The 25,261-nt window shown below is 35.1% G+C and overlaps 1 long non-coding RNA gene across 1 annotated transcript; it reads right to left on the reverse strand.

Annotated features, from left to right (window-relative positions):
* Window positions 1–6,397: 6,397 nt before the first annotated feature.
* On the reverse strand, window positions 6,398–18,353 carry LOC107987085 (uncharacterized). The gene is made up of 3 exons (XR_001746766.2): window positions 18,234–18,353; window positions 7,347–7,436; window positions 6,398–6,529 (listed from the first exon to the last, which is right to left on the reverse strand). It is a non-coding gene; the product is annotated as an uncharacterized LOC107987085 (long non-coding RNA).
* Window positions 18,354–25,261: the final 6,908 nt, after the last annotated feature.

The raw sequence follows: 25,261 nt of genomic DNA on the forward strand, positions 1-25,261 counted from the left end.
CTATTTAGAGTTGAAAAATAATATTTCCCCACAAGAACTTGTTCTTTTTGCATTAGGTGATTGTGAGATAAATAGGACTCTACTGATTAACGTAAAGAGTGTGAAGATAGCTTTACAATTAAGTTAATAATTTTATATAGCGAACATAACTTCACAAGAAAAATGTTAGAACTTTTAATCCTTGAGTCAACAGAGACAATTGCAATCAGCAGTTTCTTAAGAAAAATTATGGAGATGATGGATAACGTGACGTCAAAGATTTATTTTGTCATTACTTCTCTAATTCAGTCTCAAACTCCTATTTTAAGGGAATTATAAGAATATCTTCCATATATTATTGCTTCTAAATGCCTGGGGCAAACATTTTTTCTGTAGTCAGATCTTTCCCAACAACTTAGTTTTCTCCTGATATCTTTTTCCTGACTCTCAACCACTGTGTACACAGAAAATATAGGAAACTTGTAATAAATGAATAAATTCTCACTTCAGAAACTTAACTTTGCTGGGAAAATACATAATAATTATTCAGTCAAGTTTAAATTATTATTTGATATATCTTCTTTTTTGGGTGACTGCTACAAAGATGATTACATGAAAAGGGACACAACTGTGGACTTTTGATTGGCTATTTTTATTGAACCTTGAAAATTTAATTCAACACATCATGGTGGATTACCTGCTATCTGTTGGAAGCTTTTATAAGTATTTTGGATAAATAAGTGAAGACACATACAAATAGGAATTTCTTGCCATATCCAAGTGAGGAGATAGAAAACAAACAATAAACAGAATAAGAAAAATATAAAATAGGCAAGAAAATGAAAAGTGCTACATATAAGAAAAGGAAAACAGAGAATGGGGAATCAAGAGTGGGGCAGGTTGGAAAAATAAGATGCATGTTGTCGTATGAAATAGAGTGGGCTGGCCAGGCTTTATTGAAAAAGTGAAATTTAAGCAAAGACTTGAAAGAGATTTTGGAGTTACCTAAATGAGCATATTTGAGGAAAGAACTTTTCAGGGGGAGGAAATAGCTAAAGCAATAGATGAAGAAAGGTGAATAAAATAGGAATGATGAGGATGTTTGGGGGTTTCTGGCAATGGTGGAGTAAGTGAGAGACCCATAGGCAAGGTCAGAGTGGTATTGGTGGGGTTTGCAGAGTATCACGCAGGGTCTTTGGGCATATTCAAGGACTCTCCCTTTTTCTCCAAGTACAATAGGAAGTCGTTTCAGAGTCTAGAGCAGAGGCGTGCTATGACATGACTCACATCTTCAGAAGAGCACTTGAGCTCTTGAGAAGAGACTGCTGGGAAACAAGTGTAGAACCAGGGAGCCTAGTTGAATGAATATTGCGGTCACCCAGGTGAGAAATAATGGCTTAAAACAGAGTGATAGCCAAGGAGTTGGTGAGAAGTGATCAAATACAGGACATATTTTAAAGAAAGACCCAACAGAATTTTGTAATGGGAGATGATGCAAAGGTCTTGAACAATCAGAATGTAGTTGCCATCGGCTGAGTTGGATAAGGCTATGCTCAGTTTGGAGGGCACAGATGAGGCCGTCATATTAAGGAAGATGGAGTAAGCAAGCCTGTGAAATGGTACTGTGAGGTTAAGTAACATGAGAACCAAAAATTGACCATTTAGCCTAGTGATGTGAAGGTTATAGGTAAGCTCAACAGTATCATTTTTTGGTGGAGTAGTGGGAGTAAAAGCTCAAATTGAGTGGATTTCAGAGATGATTGATAGGAAAAGAGAACTTGGAGACAATACATCTGCATATCTCTTCTGAAGACCTTTACAGTGAAGGAGAGCAAAGAAATGTGATGGTAGTCATTAGGGGAGAGGTGGTTAAGAGACATTCTTATTTAAGATGAGAGCAATGATAGCATGAAAATAATAGAGAAGAGGGGATAATTTATGAACCCGTCTGAGTGGACATAAGGAGGTTGATATCTAGTGCACAAGTTGAAGAACTGCATTTGGATAGGAAGATGGAAGGAAAAGCACACAGAGACAGCTCTGGTGGATGGGAATATGGCAGTAGAAGCCTACAGAAATTCTCTTAGAATTGATTTAAATGCTCTAGGGCTGAGAATAAAGGTGAAAAGGGAGGTTTTGAGACAAAAGCATAAGGTATTAGTTTTTGAAGAGACTGGGTGCAATGGCTCATGCCTGTAATTCCAACACTTTGGGAGGTTGAGGTGGGAGGATCACTTGAAGCCGAGAATTTGAGATCAGCCTGGGCAATATAGCAAGATCTAATCTCTACAAAATTAAAAGTTAAAAAAAATAGCTGAGCATGGTGGCATGCACCTGTAGTACCAGTTACTTGGGAGGCTGAGGCAGGAGAATTGCTTGAGCTTAGAAGTTCAGGGTTACAATGAGCCATCCGTGATCACACTGCTGCACTCCAGCCTGGGGAAAAGAGTGAGATCCTGTCTCTAAAAAAACATAACATAAATGAACTAGAGATTTGTCTTAGTGCCTGGCAAACTGGTTTGAACAGAACTGAAAAAGTGCCTCCAGTTTAAGAAAATCTTCAAGATTAGAGAGTTATAAGAAGCCTAACTCTACTATAAAATTAGAGACTGTTTTATTTTTTGTTTCAGTTTTATAATAGAATATGTCAAAAATATAAAAAGTAGAGTAACTAATATAATGAATGGTTATGCATTGATCACTCAGCTTTAATAATTATCAACTCAAGGCTAATTGTGGTTCATTATACAACTATACCCTCTTTTTTTCATTGAATATTTTAAAACAATCAATATATATAATCTTTTAACCTATCATTTTATTTAAGCTGCAAACATTTCAAGATGTATCTCTAGATGACAGGCACTCATTTTTATAAATATGCCACTATGATACCTAAAATATAATAACAATGATTCTTTATCATTGATTTACTGCTCATTGTTCACATTGTACCAATTTGTTTGCTTCAGTGGGGATCCAATTAAGATCACAGCTTTGCCATTGAATGATTTTTTAATATATCTTTAATTCTATAGTTTGCCATCCATCTTATTATATTTCTTTGCAATTTGTTTCTATTATTGTTAAAGAAACTGGATTAGTTTGTCACGCTCTGAAATTTGCTGATCACTGCATGTTCATGGTGGGTTTCATATCTTCTTCTGTTTCCTTTATTTTTTATAAATTGATGGGTAGATCTGGTGGTTCGATCATATTTTGGTTTATTTGAGTAATTTGTTTTCATAGGTGGTGTTGTATAACCAAATCAGGATTTGCATATCAGTGGTCTCTCATTTTGTTATTTTTTTTCCAGCAATTTGTGATAATTGCCTAGATCTGTTAACTTTATAGGAGTTATAAAATCTTGACATTCCACTACTTATTTCTCATGTATTAACTGAAATAATCCCAGAGCAAAATGTAACCTACATTATAAACTAGTTTCTCATCCTGAAGTATAGTTCATTCAGAAAAAGTTGAAAAAAAATCTTGACTATTTTTTATTATATGGGAGTTTTCAAAATAATAAGTTGGTTCCTTAGTATCCTCAAAGGTCACCTACCAATGTTGATTTTAATACTGTTATAAACAAATGGATGTAAATAAATATGATGGATTTCAACCCATTACATTATTTTTAATGATTCCCAAATTTCCCCTCTGACTAAGGCTGTTCAAATTGATTCTGAGTCTTATTAACCTAATTTTTTACTGAATCACAATAATTTTCAAACATTGAAAGAATAACTTCTCAAAATTTTGTGCTATTCACTTTGTAATAGCTACAAATATGGCACATTTTTAGTTTAATCAGCATGATTAACAAACACTTTTCTATTGCTTTCTTTGGTTTAGACCAGTCATAGGCAAACTATGGCCAGTGGGCTGACCTCTTGGTTTGAAAATGCAGTTTACTGGAACACGGTCATGCCTGTTTATTTATGTATTGCCTACGACTGCTTTCACTCAACAGCAATACAGTAGTTGTAATAAAGACCAACTGCATAGTCATCAAGCCTTAAATATTTACTATCTAGTACTTTACAGAAAGTTTGCTAGCTCATAATCTAGACAATCAACATAATAAATCATGCCTTTATTATTTCCAATTTCTGTGATGTAAACACGTTATGCCAATTACAAATCACTAACATAATATCACTGAAGGCAGAGTTGGGAAGAAATGCACATCAACATATCATTATATACTGTTTTCAACATATAGATACAAATGGCATAAATGACTTCAAGAACATAGATGAAAGCAAATTTAGTGAAATAATTAAGAATTTGTGAGTATTAAAAATGTATTTTTGGTCAGGAGCAGTGGTTCATGCCTGTAATCCCCGCACTTTTGGAGGCTAAGACAGGCTTGAGCCCAGAAGTTTGTGACTGGCCTGGGCAACATGGAAAAACCCTGTCTGTACTAAAAATACAAAAATTAGCTGGGCATAGTGGTGTCTGCCTATAGTCCCTGCTACCTTGGAGGCTGAGGTGGGAGGATTTCCTGAGTCTGGGAGGTTGAAGCTGCAATGAGCTGTGATTGCACTACTGCACTTCAGACTGTGACAGAGTGAGACTTTGTCTCAAACAAAACAAACAACAACAAAAACAGCTGGGCAAGGTGGCTCAAGCCTGTAATCTCACCATTTTGGGAGGTCAAGGCAGGCGGATCACCTGAGGTCAGGAGTTCGAGACCAGCCTGGCCAACATAATGAAACCCCATCTCTACTAAAAATACAAAAAATTAGCTGGGCGTGGTGGCGGGTGCCTATAATCCCAGCTACTTGGGAGACTGAGGCACGAGAATTGCTTGAGGTGGAGGTTGCAGTGAGCCAAGCTTGCCCCCATTGCACTCCAGCCTGGGCAACAGAGTGAGACTCCATCTCAAAAAAACAAAAAACAAACAAAAAAACCCAAACAAACAAAAAGAACGTATTATTTTTATTTTAAAGACCATTTACTGTTACAAGTTTCTACAATTGAATGTTTAATAAGGGCTGTGTTTAATAACCTGCTCACAATAGTGCTGATAATTTAGCAATCAGTTCTCACAAGTTAATGCAAGCTGGTTCCAATGAACCACTTCTTATATTCCCACTAGTTGGAGCGTATCAGATTTTATTTATTTTTCTTGAGACTGCGTCTCACTCTGTTGCCCGGGCTGGAGTGTGGTGGTGCACTCTCAGCTCACTGCAATCTCTGCCTCCCGGGTTCAAGCGATTCTCGTGCCTCAGCCTTCCAAGTAGCTGGGATCACAAGTGCACACTACCATGCCCAGCTAATTTTTGTATTTTTAGTAGAGATGGGGTTTCGCCATGTTGGCCAGGCTGGTCTCGATCTCCTGGCCTCAAGTGACCCACCTGCCTCAGCCTCCCAAAGTGCTGGGATTATAGTCGTGAGCCACAGCGCCCAGCCTCATTAGTTTTGATTTTGAGCCCTGAGTAGAGACACAGCCATTATCTTATTGGTAGAGTTGGCTGGGAAGTTAGCTATGAATTAATAGCCTCAAATATTAAGCCTTACATAGAAAGACTTTAAAGAAAAGACTTACTAAATACCTTGGTATGATTAAATATTAAAACTAAATATAATCATAAAAGTGACTCTTGTAGAAGAAAATCAATTTAGCTAAATCTAAAGAGTGTTTAGGAATTGAGGACACTATTTGAAAAGGAGGCACTAGTAAATTTAAGACAAAAACAACATGTATTTGACCTTCGAAATGCTGGCTTTATCAGCTGCTTACCATATGTACTTCACCAAGTCCAATCATAAGTGGCTTCCTAGGGTCAGAGTGGACACTATGGGGACATGAGTGTGTTATTCTCACCTTTGGCCAAAATGACAAACATTAATGATTTATCAAAAAATTTCTACCTTTAGAGTTTGGCTACAACCTCACCATCCCTCTCAACATGGAGTTCCAAGCAAGTCACTAGCAACTGATTATAATTAAATGTGAGTTAAGCCCCAAAGCCATTTTTGATTTAATATTTCACATATATAATATATATATTCTTATTTTCAACATGCTTCAGTGTACTTCCAGAATAACTTTTAAAATATCTTAAGCTTTCATTTCTATAAGTAGAATAATACTCAAAGTTCCTGAATTTAAAAACACCAGGCAGGTATAGACTGTAAACCTAATATTTTGGAAATGCAGAGTGTAACTGAAGCCTGCAAAAGGAAGTATTACTAAAATTTATCAGAGATTTGATTTATGAGGGGTTACGCTGAGTCTACCCAGTTATTTTTCTGCTTGTTAAACAGCACTTAAACTAAAGAAGATTTGGGCTGATAGAATTAAGGAGCTTTTTCCCTTGTTATATTGTCAGTAATATTCATCAGACAAAATGTGAGAAACGTTTCTACATTATGGCTTGTGATCCAGGAAAATCAGGGGGCAGTACCTTCATTCTGAAGTCCCAGTAAATGATCTTCTTTGATCAAAAAAGTGAGCCAGACACTAAAATATTGTCACGGAAGAACTGAAGGCAGGGAGATGCTCAAATCCTCCCAAGTCTGGCATTCAGTGCACCACCTGAAAAGAAGTTATTCAAATACAAAGGAATTACCATGTGAATGGTGTTTCCGCACAATTTCTGCATATGCTGCCTTGCATTTTTATCAAGATGACAAACATAAACCAGCGTGAGAAAGCAGGTGCCTTTTTCCACCATATCTTTTGAACATCAGTATTTCCCAGCAGTTAACTGCATGTGATAATGGCCAGAGCACAGAAACGTATTGATTTGGATCCAAACTCTTCACCCAGAAGCAGCTTTTTGTTGTATATTTTAAGCTTGGCGCTTTTGATCCAGATTCATTAGATGGCAGATGATTTAAATAAGAAGGCAACGAGGCTGATTGAGGGGAAACTTCGTAAGATGTTGAAGTCTCAAAGAATATTTCAGCTCAGAGGGATTTCTTTCGTGGAGCCAAATTCAGATCCCACCTACAGAGTTAAAGCCATTAATTATTAACCACAGTATTACATATTAAAATTACAAGATATCAGGTTGACAGCACATTACAACGAGCCTTCAGATTGTGATTTCCCATCCTAATGATGATGATAAGATAGGACTGAATGGCAAATTGCTATTGCTTTCAGTTGAAAATTTGAAAGAGCTGTGCCCTGATCCCTCGTTACAGAGAACTGCTATTCATTCAGCAGCACTCCTAGCAGAAATAAACCCAGGGTCTAGTGCGGTGGCGGCAGAGATGTTAATTCACAGGACAGCAAGCAGAGAGAAGCTGCTAAATGGCACAGTGGGTTAATGACGCACTACAGTGCTTCACCATGGGAGACATATGGGTCGAATTCTGGCATTGTTCACAAGTGAAAATTGGTTTACCAATCTTAGCTTGGTCCCTGGTGGACAGTTATCCTTGTCCTAGCCCTCCTCAGATGTTGTCCTAATTTTCTGCACAGGAGAGGCTCAAGTCTGCAAGAGGAGGAAAGTTACTTATAAGAGTGAAAATGGCTTAGCAGAGTTAGAAGAGTAAATGGGCCCAATATCTTCCTTCTTTTAATTCCGGTTGCTGCCAGTATCTCATTTTCACAAGCATGAAAATCCACTCAGGGCCGCAAAAGAAAGGCCATAAACAAGGCCAATTTCCTGTCTGCTACAACTACATCCCCAAAGAGCTAAGCAGGCTTAGCACTAATTTATTAAAAAGAGGATACTTATCTGAAACAGGCCTTGCCCTCAGTAGAGAATCTTAGGACTACCAGCTTAAGAGCAGAATAGCTTAGTCAAAAACTTATACGCATTTTAAGAAATAGTGTAAGATATAAAATAATTAATAGGATTCTATAACTCTTCTTATGCACATGTTCTTAATAGCAAGAGAATGTGTGGAATACTTTTTATAATGTATTTGTGTATTTTACAGTACCTTTTTTTACGTTAAATAAAAGCCTTTCCTTTAACAGAAAGACATTCACTTATCTACTCTCCTATGTGAAAAACTAGTCACTGGTAATAAACATTTAAAAACTGCAAATGAAATAAAATGATGAGAGACAATGTTTAATAAAAACTTTAAAGAACTCAAATGAGAAATAAAAGGAAATTACAGAAGTGAATAACACTATCTTATTTTCTAATTCAAAAAATAACAAAGGCTATGGTGACAGAGACTAAAGCGTTGAGAGATTAATGAAATGAAAGATTTCAGAAAGTAGGAAGAAACAGCTATGGCCTATAAAAAGGAAAGAAGATTTAATAATTAATAAAAATTAAAGACAAATATCTACAAAAGATTTTTGAAAGTGACAAAGAAAAAATAAAAAACAAAATGCTGAAATAATTAGTTCTTGTGAATTTCAGGCTATTCAGATATTTTCCATCTCTACAATCATTATTTTCTGGGATTATTTAATAGATTCTCTCATTAATTCTGCCTTCAATCACTCATTCCTTCTCATCTATCTTTTTTTAACTTTTAATTGGTTTTGAGGATAGCTAATATTCATTATTAACTCTTTTCCCGTTTAGGAAAAAAAAAAAGTACAGCTCGTTGCCAGTGATCATTTAATTTTACATAAACACACTCTTTGAGGCTGAAGCAAATCTGACTGAGTTTCAATGTAAAACTAAAATATAAAAACTGTTGTTTTTGGAGTTATTTCTAAACAGAACAAACATCAGAATCATCAGAATCGTCTAGTTTGGAAATATCGAGTTCATCAAATTCAGCCAACAATTGTTTGAGAATGATGTTAATATCACACATAGGAATGCTACATTTTCTAGGATTTGACGTTATCATCCCTCGAGAATTACTATATTTTGTAAGTGGAAATACGACTACTAAAAACAGAATACTGTAAATAGAATGATGTCTTTTGTTTCCAAAGTTGACATACTAGAGTGATGTGAAAATAATTATAAAAGCCAGATATTTTGTGGCAAAGTTCTCAGGGTAAATGCTGCAGCCACAAGCACTGTTGGTGGGTATTCTTGGGGCAAAAAGGGAAAAAGGTTAAAAATGTGTACTCAGTAGCCAAACACTTTGGCAGAGGAATCAAACAGAAAGGGAGAGATTTATAAACATCACATTAAAGTAAAAAACGAGAGAAAAACTCAAATGCAAACGCATTTGTTTAAACAAATAATTTACTTATTTCACAACTCATGATCCTTAAAGATGGTAGAGGCATCCAGTCCACATTTCCCTTCTTTTGGAAATCAGTCTCATCCTCTCTAAAAATAGTCAGCTTCATGAAGCTAACGTCATCCCTTATTTACTTCCAACAAGACTCATTTGTTCATGGTCTGTTTGTCCTTCAATTCCCATTCCTCTTCCTATACCCACAGCTGATTTTCAAAATCCTCTTCTTACCTGTGTTTTGTTCTCTGTTTACATTGCCTCCACTCTCCTGGCCTGCTCAAATCTAATTTGTCTCTATTTCCTTCCTATAAAGCTTTCATTGATACCTTTGGTCCATAGCAATCTCCTCTTCCCCTAACAATAAATGACTGCTCCTCATTAGGAATTAGAAAGCAGCCAAATCGCTGACTTGGCATTTCCTATTTGATTTTATATGACTATGAATTTTTCAGGAGTCTTTTTCTAGTTTCTCCAAACAGATTTTAAGATTATTAAAACATGACTTTGTACATACAAGTTATTTTTCTTAAATATAGAAGTATCTGTGTGTATGTATTCCTCTTCTGACTTTACGTATTTATTTTGATATTTCAAAATACCTAACACTGCTTTACTCAGAGGAGTAGCTTAATAAATATGTTTGAATGAATGCCCACCATAAAATAATTACAACTTATTTTTCTCTGTTAACAGATTATCCTCCCCAATTCTAATCAGCTATTTAAAACCTTCGTAAAATTTAAATGGAACACAAAGGAGAATCATTTAATTCTTAGCTATTAAGGTGATAATGACAGATTTTGAAAGTAATGAGACAGCATTTTGATTTTAAAATACTCCATTTAATACTTTTAAAATTATGATATGATTCATGTGCAATTTTGGATACTTTTAAAATAAATTGTGACAAATTTGAAATTCTTTAAAATCCTTTAAGAACTTTCCTACATAGAGCATTAGATAAGGCCAGTTTTTATTTAATTTTAGGGAAAGTAGCACGTTCAATTAGAAATATTTATGTATAAAAGAACTTGCACTGCCAATTTGACTAAATATACCTAAAATTTAAATTACTACATTGAGACTTTAAGAACCTGTAGCTCTGTCAGTGGGACTGTGGTCCACCTGCTTTCTTCTGGTACAAACGATTTTGAATAGAAAGTAACTACGGAGACCAGGCGCGGTGGCTCACACCTGTAATCCCAGCACTTTGGGAGGCCGAGGCAGGTGGATCACCAGGTCAGGAGATCGAGACCATCCTGGCTAACATGGTGAAACCCCGTCTCTACTAAAAATACAAAAAAACAATTAGCCAGGCGTGGTGGCGGGCGCCTGTAGTCCCAGCTACTCGGGAGGCTGAGGCAGGAGAATGGCGTGAACCGGCAGGCGGAACTTGCAGTGAGCCGAGATCGCGCCACTGCACTCCAGCCTGGGCCACAGAGCGAGACTCCATCTCAAAAAAAAAAAAAAAAAGAAAAAGAAAGAAAGAAAAAGAAAGTAACTACCGAGCATGGTGGCTCACACCTGTAATCCCAGCACTTTGTGAGGCTAAGGCAGGAGGATTGCTTGAGCCCAGGAGTTTGAGACCAGCCTGGGTAACACAGCAAGACCTCATCTCTTAAAAAAAAAAAAAAAAAAAAAAAAAAAAAGTCTCTAAAATCACCTTCACAGAGTTAACAAGAATTCTAGACAAAAATATAGTTATAATTAAGCATTAACCAGGCTGTACTTTGACCCACTTTTTTGTAATCAAAAGTCACATAGCCCTAGATACTGACCATTTGCATCCTAATTGTTCTTATAAATAGGATTTCTGATTATAGAATCATAAGGTGTTTAAGAATTGCTTAAGCAGATTCTGAATTTCAGAGAAAGAGCTGACACTTAACCAGTTTGAAGACCCTCACAGAAGAACCGAATCAGTTTGAAAATATAGTTTCTTCATCTCCCTTTCCCAAGACTTCACCGTGCACTTTTCAACCATTCAACAATCTCCACACTTTGGTCCACTCCAAAACCCTTAAAATCCCTACCCTCAGACTCCTTGGGGAGATGGATATGAGGTTTCCTCCCATGTCCTCATTCAGCAGCCCTACGATTAAACCTCTTTCTCTGCTGCCACCCAGTGTCTCGGCGTATTGACTTGCCCTGCACATAGGGCAATGAACCTATTATGGTTATACGACCATAGAAAGGTAATTTTGCTGTAATAAAAGAATGGCACAAATAGCATAAGGAAGACACTCAAGGGGAAAATTTGTAACCACTAGCAGCACAACAATCCACAAGGAGAGCACTATAGCTGGGGACAGTGGACAACAGATGAAGCCAAAGGGTACACTTAATTCTGTCTATGGACCAGCACCTGGTCTGGATGGATGTCTTCATTCAAGAATCTACTGTCATTTAAAAAAAAAAAACAGCAGTAACAACTATAAGACAGGCTATAAAATGTCTGCAAAATAGAAAAAAAATTATCTGAAATGATTTTCTAGAGCCAAGGTTACTAGCCAGTGTACTGTGGCACACCTGGAGGCTGCAGATAGGTCCACAGGTGACTGAAATTTAATCTTCTTAGCTCTCAAGGTAACCAGAGAGAACCTGGGGTAGCTGGGACCCATGCAGCAGTCCAATCAGTTTGCCCTGGGACATCATCAAATGTTACCCTTTTTCTGCATGTGTAAAGAATCGTGCAAAAAAAAAAATTTTTTTTTAATTATTTATCATTCTCATTAGTACCCAACTTGACAAGACTTCTATGAAAAAGAAGCAGGAAGTTGATAAGTTTTGAATATCTGCATTTGTTTATATGATTCTAAATGCAAACATAAGGTTACGGGATCAAGGTAGATTGTAACCATAGAAGAAGCTATATCTGTTCCCTACACTTCAATTTCTTTCCCCCTTCTGGAAAGAAGAGCCATATGGATAGGCTGGCAAGTATGTGTGTCATACAAGAGAAGAGCCCTATAATTAAGAATCTGGGAGTTAATATACATGCTGTCCAGCTGACGTTCTTACCTCCTGAGAGAAGAGGAAATAATCTCTCCAATGTAAACAAAATATTGGGTAGAGAAGGGGAAGATTCCTAGGTTCTTACCTTTGGCATTCAAATAAATGTCTCTAGATGAGGGATAAGACAAGTGCTTTCAGGTTTATATCTCCTGGAAACTATCCAAGGATCCTGGTTTCATGCCCCTTGGAATATAAATATACAGACATGTTCAAACAAACAAGGACGTCATCAGGTAAAATTTGAAAAGCTGAAATAAGACCTCCACATGAAAACAGAGTTTTTCTGCATTAGAAAACCTAAAATAAAAAAAGAAACTTGATCCTAGGCATAAATTGGCACATGCCCAAAATTAAATTATCAAGGCAAACAAGAAATCTCATAGGCATAAGGGACAAAACAAAGGTTAGAACAAGGTAGCCATTGCTACAGCCAGTGTTTTCAGAATGGTTACAATGTTTCAAGACTTTTGATATGAACTTCAGGAACTTATTCAGATGTGGGATTCAGACAGATAATGACAAGACAGAGAATAAGTTCTAGGAAGGGGAAAATTAAACAGGGCAGCAATCTCAGTAAGTTTTTGAAAATGGTCTGAGATGGCTGATTCTGGAATGATGAGTTGGAGTGAGTCAGTATAAAGACCAGGAAAGAATGTTCCAGAAGGGGATGGAAACAGGGGCGTATGATTTGATGGGAAGGGTTTGTTACTGTAAATGAAGGCAGAACCCTACGGATAAAACAAATTATGGCATGCTGCAGTGTTAAATAAGTTCACTGTGGTTGAACTGCAGGGTTTAATCAAGACAGGGTCAGGACATAAAGCTGGAGACATATACGTAGTTACGATCCTGCAAATGCTTATATGACAGGTCAGAAATTTGTATTTTATCCTTATAGCAAGAATTGCTTTTGAAGGATTTTAAGCAGAAGAGTGATCTATGAGAAATTTTCATTTTAGTCCTTTATGGTTCAAATCCTATGTCTACCATTTGACCTTGGGCCTAATAGATATTTCCTCCATGTCTTGGTTTCCTTATCTGTAGCATAGAGATAATAACAATACTTAATAAAGTTGTTGTAAGGATTAAAGGAGAATTATTTGGCAAGTGCATGACACATAGTAAATTTTCTACAAATAGCTATTATTATTAAGGGATTTTAAACAGAAGAATAACATGATTGGAATTTAGGGAAGTCTTTCTGGCTGAATTGTGGAGGCAGATTCAGAGGTGTAAAATTGCAGGTAGAAAGAACAGTTAAGAAGCTGTTACACAAGAATCCAGAAAAGAGAAGAAGATCCTTTGAGATAGAGTATTAGCAAGGCACACAGAAATAGACACATACAAGCTATATTTAGAAGGAAGAAGCCATAGACAGAATGATTAAATGAATATAAGGATTGAGTTATTGAACCCCATACTTCTCTATAGCATTGAAAATTGTAATTCAATAATTAAACATTTGATGATGATTTTTATTGTTTCTGATTAACTGATTGATTGACTTTGTCTTTCCCTATCAGACCCGTTAGGTATCTTTTTTTTTTTAAAGACAGGTTCTCATCTGTCACCCAGAATGGAGTACAGTGGCACTATAATAACTTACTGCAGCCTCGAACTCCTGGACTCAAGTGATCCTCCCATCTCAGCCTCCCAAGTAGCTGGGACTACAGGAGCACACCACTACTCTTGGCTGATTTTCTAAAAATTACTTTTATAGACTTGCTCTATTTCTCAGGCTGGTCTCAAATTCCTGGCCTCTAGCAATACTTCCACCTTAGCCTCCCAGAGCCCTGGAATTACTGGTGTGTGCCACCATGCCCAACATTTTCATCATTGTGTTATAGTGCATAAAAATAATAGACACGTTTTAATATGTTGAGTATTTTGTGTGGTAAGATGACTAATTTGGCTCTGGGAATATAAATGTGAGTATGATTTTATACTACAAGATAGCAATCATCTGTACAGGGGTTGTACATGAAAATTTCAGCTGTTGGAGTGAGTGTGGTTATCTAGGAGGTAATATGCAGTGAGAAGACAGTGGGTTGGGCATAGAACCCTGAAGAACATGGACAGGTTGGGCAGGTAAAGGAAGAAAAGCCTTGAAAGGATTCTAAGAAAGAATGTCTGAAAAATGGAAGAAAGACATGGAATTTGTGGTGTCAACAAAAGTGGAAAATGTTTTAAAAGCAACAGCAATATAAAACAGTCTTTCACGCAATTAAACAGTAGGAAATGTTAAGAGGTCAAGTATAATAAATAGTAAGATACTGGCTAGCGAAGTTTACATAAATTACAGGATGAGGAATATAAGATTGAATTCAAGTAGCGACAATAAAATTTAACTTTTTAGAAGTTACTGAGCTACAAAAAAAAAAAAAGGTAGAAATAGGTAAGTAATTGGAAAGAGAAATTGTGTTGTGCAGATATGTGTGAAACTCCCTAAGTGTTGACAGGATAATTAGTAGAGTAAGAATCCTGAAAAGGTCAGGATTGGAGCTGGCATATGGAGAAATTATCACTGGGCAGGAGGAGGAATCCTTCTTCCACTATAAAAGAAGAGGAAAGGATGATCCAGGTACGTTTTCAGGTTCAGGGGCAGAAATTTGAGAGACTTATTTTCTCCATGCATCAGAAGGGGGGCCAAGATGGACACATGGGAATCCTAAAGAATGTGGATAACTATTAAAAGAGATATTGTGGAGAATAGAGGAGTGAAACAGGAACAAAGAAAGTTTGCTAGGTGGTAATGAAATTGGAAACCATTGTGTCATTTCCCTAAGCATTGCTTAAAAACCCAGGAATAGGGATAAAGAAGATAGACTGTAGGGCTGTTCAGGATTGGTGTGCCTCCAGGCTATTGTGATGGGTGGACAATGCATAAATCAGTAAGAGGACAATGTAAGAAAAAAAAACGAGTTAATGTTACAGGTTTTCATAAGAAGCAATTTTGGCCCCCAAACCCCAGGGGATATTTGACAATGTCTGGAGACCTTTTTGGTTGTCACAACTTGGGAGGGAGGTACTAATAGAATCTAGGGAGTAAAGGTCAGGAATTCTTCTAAACATCTTATACTACACAGAACAACCCCTCACAAAAAAGGATTTTTCTGGGTTAAAAAAATCTAAATTGGTTTGGGAATCAAGGAGAGGTAGAAGGGAGCTTACAGGGAAAAATAAGAGAATCAAAGTACAGAATGCCTTGTGTGGTAAAGAGCATAATTATATCAAGTGGAGAGAGGGAGGGAGAGAGAAAGACAGTGACAGAGGGTATGTGAATGAGAGGGAGAGAAGAAGGTCATGGTCTGAGAGTGGTTTATCATTGTTAGTGTTTCATTACATAACATTTCAGAGTTGGAGCAGTCTGGGATGACAACAAATGTGTGCCCATAGAAATGAATGGCTGAAGCAGAGTGGAAGTGAAAATCACTAGAGATGAGTAATTCAAGGATAATTTACATCACTCAGAATAATGGCTAGCCTAGGGAGAGGGACAAGGATATCAGTATAAGTGATAAAATCTTTAGTGAATAAGGTCTTGGAGGAAAGATTGTGACCCAGCAAATCTATTTGTATGTATAAAGTCTACATAAATAACACACAGGTCATCTATAGAAAAAAAAAGAATGAAAAGGAAATTGTAAAATATACTTAAAATATTTTCTAAAGGAGAAGAAAAATAGTGATTTTTCACTGGGTGGCATTTTTTCTATACTTTCTTAAATAAATATTTGTCCATGATAAGAATAAAAATTAGTAAACCTGAGAATAAAATACTTTAAAAAGGAAAGAAACAGTGAAATGTTGGTGTATAGTTCCCTCATAGCCCATCAGCTGAAATCTGCATAGTTGCTGCATTTAAAATTATTATTTTGGATCCAGTCATTGCCTCATTTTACCTTAAAAAAGTATGTTTTGCTCTAAAATATAAAGGGAATATAAAGAGGTTCTGCAACTAGCTTATCAGAGCTGATATCATAAATAACTTCCAATCTAAAAAGATGAGAATGTAGAAAACAAAATCATACAGGATTCTGAGAAGAAAAGAGTGCCAAATTGTCAGAAAGGCCAAACATGCTATAAAATTATATTTAATTGCCCACCAAATATAAAACTAAGATTTTAATGAAACATGATTATCAGGGGGAAAAGGGCAATGCGTCACTAGCACAAAATTTACTGTTTAGATATGAAATTGTATGAGGAATGTATTGTACTTGTGTGGTAGAATTATGTATTTGTAACTATTTGTATCTATTTTCCTGCTGTGGAATTCTAATGATCAATCCCATAGTCTTGAATAAGTAGCTTAAGATAAAGCCCTCCACTAATGTCATTCATTGTAACTATATTTGCCATTCGTTGCTGTCTCCAAAACCTATCTAGCATAAGGACGATGACTACATGGCTCAAAAATTAGAGGAAAATTTTCTAATTATAATTATCCACATAACAGTGCATCTTGTCAATGAGTCAGAAGAATGGAGGATATATGTTCTCTGCCCTCTCTTCATTTCAGCATAAATTCATCAATTCTTTGCACTACTGATTAGAAGATGCAGAGTGAAGATTCAAGAGCATGCTAATTTGAGTCCTTCGTGATGCCCAGAAACATCTAGTGACATTAATTATCTAATAGAAAAATTACTTATATCATGTTAAGATGATTTTGGGAATGATGCTTCTGCACCCCACAGGATTTTGCAGTAGTTAGCTTACGTGGCCTTGACCTACGGTTTTCTGCCTAGTAGCGATAATCAACAAAGGTATGTTCTGTAATACTTTCTTTTTATGTAAACTCTTTCCCCAAATTGTCAATTTCCCAAACTGTGGCCTCATTCTTGTAAGCCCTACTATGAACAAGGAGCATGGTTCCTTCACAGAAAAGTTTCCACTCACTCCTGAAAAGTGGAACATGAAAGGTATTTGGTAAGATATTTTGGATATGATGTCAAAAGTATACCTACCATTAGACTAGCCTAGCTAAAGGAATATGTTGACTAAATCACTGAGATATTCTCCAAGGAACTGGAGCTTATAAATATCTAGTCATTGCCTCATTTTACCCTAAAACAATGTATATTTTGCTGTAAAATAAAAAAGGAAATATAAAGAGGTTCTGCAACTATTTATACAAGATTATCTTGAATCAGTTGTAATACTAACAGGGATTAATGCAGTCTGTGAAAATTGTTGTGGAGAATATGATCAATAGGTGAATAAACACAGTTGCTATTTATCTAAACTGTTTAAACCCAGATAGTATCCTCAGTGATTGAAAAATGATTCTTTGATTTTTCTGTTTTTAAATGTAGTCCCTGACCACAAATTCCTTAATCTCACGGGAGGTAAATAAACCCCAACATGACACCAAAATCATATTTAGTGCTTAGAATCTATCTACTCCTTGCTATTTCTGAGAGGAAAATGTGTTTGCCAAACTTGATCTAGACCAGGCTTATCAATAGGACAGTGCCCATAATAACACTGAAGAACCCCAAATAATCATCATTCATCATAAGACATTTGTTTCTTAGAGACCTTATATTCTACTGTTAAAAGTATTTACCAGATATAATTTTAGGTATATCATTAATGCAACCAAAAGTTAATACATTTCTTAGAATTTATTTTACATCCAGAAAAATATATCCACCTGTGAGCAACCTCTCGAAAAAGCATCACACTGATTTCTAGATATTATTATTTGTGACAATAAATTTCCCTTTCCTTACTTTAAGAAGTTTATAAGATGTACATCTTCTAGTTTATAACCCTTATGAAGGCCAGGTTGAAAAGACAGTGCTATAGTTTGATAATGTTCTGAAACTGGTCATTGCAACATCCTAGATTTGCCAAATATCTCAGCAGTTAAACATTCTAAAAAATAAGAGTCTAGCTCTGCCCTCTAACATATTATCTAGAGTTAATGGAATAACTTCAAGTCAAATAAAATATTTCGAATTCCAACTTAATCTGCCTCATCTCCTGTGTGTTTATGTATGTCACACATAAACACACAGAAATATCAAACTTTTGTCTCTTAAGGCAATCATTGCAAACCACAATCTTTATTTAGTTTTGCTAATAACTAAAGAGTTACATACAATGGCTAGGGTGTAGAGAGGCGATATGATATCTTCAGTCTCATAGATGGTGAAGAGGTCCTTCAGGGTGATGTGACAACCACAGAACATTTAGATGCACTTTTTATGAAGCCAACTGGGTATGAGTATTCGATAATATCTCAGGGGATTTATCTGAATGACAATATGATAAAAACAGTAGCTCTTTAATGTCCAACACAACTGACAATATGGGATCACTTGCTATCCTTACATTTACTAAAATTATATAAACACATACTTTATAAGTGGTACATAATTGCTGACTAAGGCTATATTAGCTAAGAAAGGAAGGGATTTTAATCCATGTCAAGGCAGCGTAGGTTTACATTTTTTAGTTCATGTGTTTACTTTTTTACCATAAGCAAGTTTATTAGCAAAAATTGTTTTGTTGAAATACATAATTCATTTAGAAGTCTTCCTCATCCCTTTGTAATGCTACAAGAATTTATACATATGCTTTTTTGTGCAAAATTTTAAAATAATGTGTATAAGTGAAAGTTATTCTGCACTAATTAATGGAGTGTTACTTCCTATAAAAAGAAGACTAAAAATTAAATATTAAAATTATTAGAATAAAGTTCCATATATCTCGAAGCAACATTAGTAACTATTATAATTAAGTATGACTAGACACAGTCAATACACTAAAATCTGAACCACAGTGTGTCTGGTCACCTTTGTATTTTTTCCTTTGCACATTACTAGATATCTAGTTAGTACATAATAAATGCTTATTAGAACAGGTTAATTATGGACACTTAAGGTCAAGCTATGAGATAAGTACATGAAAAAAATTGAACCAATTGCCTTATTATCACACATTGTATTATAATAGTAGACATATTTTTGAAGAACTCTAGATTATTGTAGGCAATGATTTATCAGGAATGTTCTTTCTTCTAAAGGTTAATCAAATGAAAAGCTAGTGTCACTCTGTAGTACAGAGATGATCCTAGAATGAAGGCAAGGTGTAGAATGAGGGTGAATAGCTTGCAAAATTGCTGCTTATGAAAGTTCCCACAAATATTCTGAGACAATGACACTTTAAATTGTAGGAAATTAAGACCTCTGAAATTTCTTTTGATCTCTGCTTCAGAGATGGAATAATACATCAGGACTCTAATACCTCAGGATTTCAAAATTTACATATTATAATAGGGAAGACAATAAACTTAAAGCACATATAATTATGATTGCCCATAATCCAACTTTAAAAAAGAATAAACTATGGTATGAAGCAATTTGAGCATATTGCTTGCATTGGCTGCATAAAATATCAGAAATAGGGTGTTACCTTAAATTATAGCTCTTCCATTAACTTTAATACAAAAAGTTGAGATAACTGTTAAAAGAACTGCCAAAGGGCATAAAGTGTTTTTATCCAATTTTAGGCTTACCCTGATAATCAAAAGGGATTCTTTAGATGAAAGCACATGTTAGACCTTCAAAAATCAGTCTAATTTCCATATATTTGTGAATTTTCTAGAATTCCTCCTGGTATTGATTTCTAGCTTCTTATCACTGTGCTCAGAAAGTATTCTTAACATAATTTCAACCTTCTTAAATTTGCTGAGGCTTCTTTTGTGCCCTAACGTGTGGTCTATCCTAGAATTAAGAAACAGTTCCATTTACAATAGCTATGAAACAATGAAGTGCTTGGGAATAAATTTAACCAAGGAAATGAAAGGCCTGTACACTGGAACTATACAATATTGATGAAAGAAATTGAAGGAGACACAAATAAATGTCCGGTGTTCATGGATCAGAAGAATTAATGTTGTTAAAATGTCCATACTACTGAAAACAATATACAGATTCAATGTAACCTCTATCAAAATTCCAATGTCATTTTTCATAAAAATAGAATAAACTATTTATTTTATAATTCATATGGAGCCCCAAAAAGAACCAAATAGCAATAGCAATCATGAACAAGAAGAGCAAAGCTAGAGATATCACATTACCTGATTTCAAACTATACTATAGAGCTGTAGTAATTAAAACAGCATGGTACTGGCAAATAGACACATTGACCAATAAAACAGAATATAGAGAGTCCAGAAATGAACCCACGCATGTTGGGTCCATTTATTTTCAACAAAGGAGCCAAGAACACATGATTTGAAAACATGAGTCTCTTCAATAAATAGCATTGGGAAAGCTGAATATTCATATGCAGAAGAACGAAATTGGACCCTTACCACACAACATATTAACAAGTCAACTTAAAATGGATTAAAGACTTAAATGTACGACCAGAAACTGTAGAACCATTAGAAGTAAACATAGGAGAAAAACTATATCACATTGGTCTAGGCAATGAATTTTTGGATCTGATCCCACAAATGCAGGCAACAAAAGCAAAAATAGATGAAACTACATTAAACTAAAAAGATTCTGTACAGCAAAGGAAACAACAGTGTGTAGAGACAATCTACAGACTGGGAGAAAATTTTTGCAAGCCATACATTCACTAAGGGATTAATATCCAAAACATACAAAAAACTCAAACAACCCAATAGCAAGAAAACAAAACAAAACAAAAAAAAACTCAATTAAAAAATGGGTAAGAGACAAGATTAGATATTTCTCAAGAAATGCTCAACATTGCTAATCATAAGGGAAACACAAATTAGATACACAATTAGATATCATACCTGTCAGAATAGGTATTATCAAAAAGATGAAAAATAACACATGTTGGCAAGGATTTGGAGGAAAGGGAACTCTGTACACTGTTGATGGGAATGCAAATTAGTACAGCAATTATGGAAAACGATATGAAGATTTCTCAAAAAGCTAAAAATAGAATTACTATATGATCCAGCAATCCCACTTCTGGGTATTTACCCAAAGGGTTTGAAATCAGTTTGTCAAAGAGAAGTAAGCTCTCCTATGTTCATTGAAGCACTATTCACAGTAGCCAAGCTGTGGAATCAACCTGTGTCCCTGAACCGATAAAGGAAGAAAGAAAATGTGGTATACATGCATAAGGGAATACTAATCAGCCTTTAAAAAGAAGGAAATTATCTTAGTTGCTGCAACATGGATGGAATTGGAGAACATTAAGTGAAATAAGCCAGTTGTAGAAAAACAAATGTAGCATATGTTCTCATTTAAATGTGGCATTTAGAACAATCAAACTCATAGGAGCAGAGTGTAGAATGTTGGTTGCTGAGGTTGGAGGTGGGAGGAATAAAGAGATGATGGTCAAAATGCACAAAATCTCAGACAAGAAATACGTTTGTTTTAGTTCAACTTCAAGCATAATGAATATAATTAATAATAGAGCATTATAAATTTCAAAATCACTGAGATTAAATTTCAAATGTTCTCACCACAAAAAATGTTAAGTAGGTGAGATGATGAATATGTTAACTAGATTGATTTAATTATTCCACATTGTATTAATAAATCATAACGTCACTCAGTACCCCATAAATGTATATACATTGTCAATTTATAATCAAAAGAGAAAAACAAAAGCAAAAATTAGTCTAAAAAGTAGTTAAGAATAAAGGTGCACTCACATATAGACATGGTTTCCCTACTCTTCTGAACCTCCCTCTTCTGATTAGTCTCTTTGTAGAAAGATTTACACTTCTATATACCAGAGGAATGTGTGATGCATTTATTTACTACCACAGACCATAATTTTCTGTTGCTTTTGCAAATAAAATGCCACAGATTATTTCTGTTGGATGAACCTCTTTGTTATTCCTTCTGAAAAGCTTTGAAGAAAGGGTCATTTCATCTAAAGACAGAAAAAGAAACATAACATTGAACCGGATTCAACCATGATAGCTGTTTCTAAGGCAGAATTAAAATAGCATAATTTCAGCAATTTTCTTTTTTACACTAATACCATAGTTCATTATTTTATACATTGAGGCACTTTAGAAACACTCATATGCTTTTAATCTATCACTTACTAGTTGGCAATTACTACTTCATCTTCAGTCTTTATGCTCTTAAGAATTTTAACTCATAAAATAACATTGTTCTTATAATTGTGTAAAAACCACAGGAAAAGAAAAATTCCCTGTCTTTATCGGGCCCACTTGTGAACATTTTTATGTTCATTATGCTTATTATACTGTAACATGTTTTAAAATTAAGATGGATTTGCATGATCTCTTTGGAAAAAAGAGAAGAAATCAAGATATCGTTCTCACTGGACTAAATGGGGAAAGTACATTTAAAGGGGTTTCAAGAAAATTGAGGTCACTGCCCAGATTGCAAAAAGAAGTTTAAAAAGTGTGCAGCCCTAAAAAAGGATAAGTTCATGTCCTTTGTAGGGACATGAATGAAGCTGGAAACCATAATTCTGAGCAAACTACCGCAAGGACAGAAAAGCAAACACAGCATATTCTCACTCACAGGTGGGAATTGAACAATGAGAACACTTGGACACAGAGCAGGGAACATCACAGACTGGGGCTTGCTGTGGGGTGGGGGGAAGGGGAGGGATAGCGTTAGGAGAAATACCTAATATAAATGACGAGTTGATGGGTGCAGCAAACCAACATGGCACATGTATACATATGTAACAAATCTGCACATTGTGCACATGTACCCTAGAACTTAAAGTATAATAAATACATAAATGAACAAATAAATAAAATAAATAAAATAAAATAAGTGTGTGAACTAAAAGTTTGTACCACCTGGGGCTCATACCCAGGTGGAGTGGAGTGGTCCTGTATTATGCTTGCTATGTGAGAAAAATCAAGGGACAAATATATATATATATATATGTGTGTGTGTGTGTGTGTGTGTGTGTGTGTGTGTGTGTATGTGTATATATATACGTGTATGTGTATATATGTACGTGTATATGTATATATATACGTGTATATATACGTGTATATGTATATATATACATGTATATATGTATATATATAGTGTATATATATACGTGTATATATGTGTATATATGTGTATATATACGTGTATATATACGTGTATATATACGTGTATAAACACGTATATCTACACACACTTATGAGGAGCCTTTATAAATTAAGCCAATGGGCAGTTGAAAAAAAATTAATGGAAGGGAAAAGAAAGCCCAAGAAACAGAAGACAACACGTAGTGAAATCAGTATCTATGTGTAAAAAACATGACATTAAAGAATACTGAATGCTGAAAATCTTGAAGCAGAACATCAGAAACAGTTCTTTCAAAAGCAAGCTGGTTATCTGTAAAAGTGGAGTCTTTATAAGGAACATCTAATGAATACTGATTTTCTGCAAAGGCCTACTTTTCAATGGGTCACTTACATACTTTCCTATAGACCAGGAGCATAGTTTAAAAAGGGCCAAGGCCCTCTAAAAAGAAAATCTCATAGATTGAATACATCTTAATTCTATGTTAAGAGTATAGCGTCAGAACTGTTGAGAAGGGCAAATTTAATCCATATTATTAACTAATTTTTAATATACTTTTTAAGAAGACTACATTTATTTTTAGTACTATGGAACTTTGCCTTAAAAGCTTGAAAATTTAAACATTCATTCATGTAACAGTCAACAATGTTTGTTGATTTCTTCCTTGATGGACACTGAGTTAAGGTCTAGAAAATATAAGAAAAAAATGACATGATCATGTTTTCAGTTATCTTACTGGCCAGAGACGAAAATAGACATTTAACAAACAATAAAACAGGTAACTATTGTAAGTATAATCTCGATGTTATGAGGAAAAAATCACAGTCTACTTCTAACTTAAAATTATGAGTGGGCTGCACATTATTTAGGGCTATAAGCCCATTTCCTATTTTTGAACTTTTAAACAAAATAATCTCTTTAATAAATCATGTGATTCCGTATAATGATAGTATGAGATAGGTGCACCATCCTTTATTTCTGAAGATGCTCTGTTTCAAAAGTAAATACTTTGAAGTTTGAGAAACATTAAAAATCAAGGAAAAATCATAAGAGAATATCTTTGACCTTTTGTTTCCCCTAACAAAAAAAAGAATCCTATTATTAATATGTTTCAAGGTAGTAATGGCACTGAAAAGTATATGTTGGCACTTTTTCACTTACAATAAGTTTATAGAATATAGTCTTTGTGTTTTTTTATCCTTATTTGAAATGAAATGTAGAAAGGTCCAACAATAATCAGGCAGTTTGCCATTGAGCCTGTAGCATTTCAAGAACCACAAAGGAAAAATGAATCATTCCTATATACCCTCAAACCACAGTTTCATATCTAGCAATAATTTTTATAGCACTTGGGATTTGTTAATAGCTCATTGAAATGATTTCAGCATTCAAACCTCCCATTTTCAATTTTTGATACTTCATTATCCCAAAATGACCAGTTAGTCTTGCCAAATCTTGATTCACATCCTACCACAAAAGATATCTATTTCCACTCACTTTTGCTGGTTTGCATCATTCTTAGTGACTGACTATTGCTTTAACAGGTCCAATTGTCATCTGTACTTGCCTTGATTTAGTCAATACAGATACTTAGATAAGGTGGTGAACTTGGCAAAAGAGCACCTCCATTGAAGAATCTGGACAACATGAGAAGATGTAAAGGATGTGTTAAATTATATACAAAACCATGAAAAGCCATGGCTGTTCATTGTCTGAGATGCATACCGATAGGAAAATTGAGACAAAATGCAGTAGGGCTGCATTTCAAACTAGATGATTTCAAGCCATGCCAATGTCTGGCATCAATGTGAAATTCCTTAAATACAGCCACATGATTTCAGTTTTAAACAAGGTCTATCACTTTAATGATCCAAATGAAACCTTTGATTCAAATTCCAAAGGTCAATTTATTGAAAACCCTACAGTATTTTTTCAGTCTAAAACCAAGAATTGGGAAGCAATTAATGATAATAAAGTGGGCATGCTATTAAATCCTTATATTTCAATTATATTTCAAAATAGTGTGTTTTTAAAATGAGGTTGTCATAGGGAGCCCTCAGTAAAAATGGAAAGCCCTGAAAAACGAATTAGTTTGAGTCTTATCCTTCTAATATAGA

The sequence above is a fragment of the Homo sapiens genome, chromosome 9, assembly GCF_000001405.40.
Source record: "Homo sapiens chromosome 9, GRCh38.p14 Primary Assembly".
In the NCBI taxonomy this organism is placed as follows: domain Eukaryota; kingdom Metazoa; phylum Chordata; class Mammalia; order Primates; family Hominidae; genus Homo; species Homo sapiens.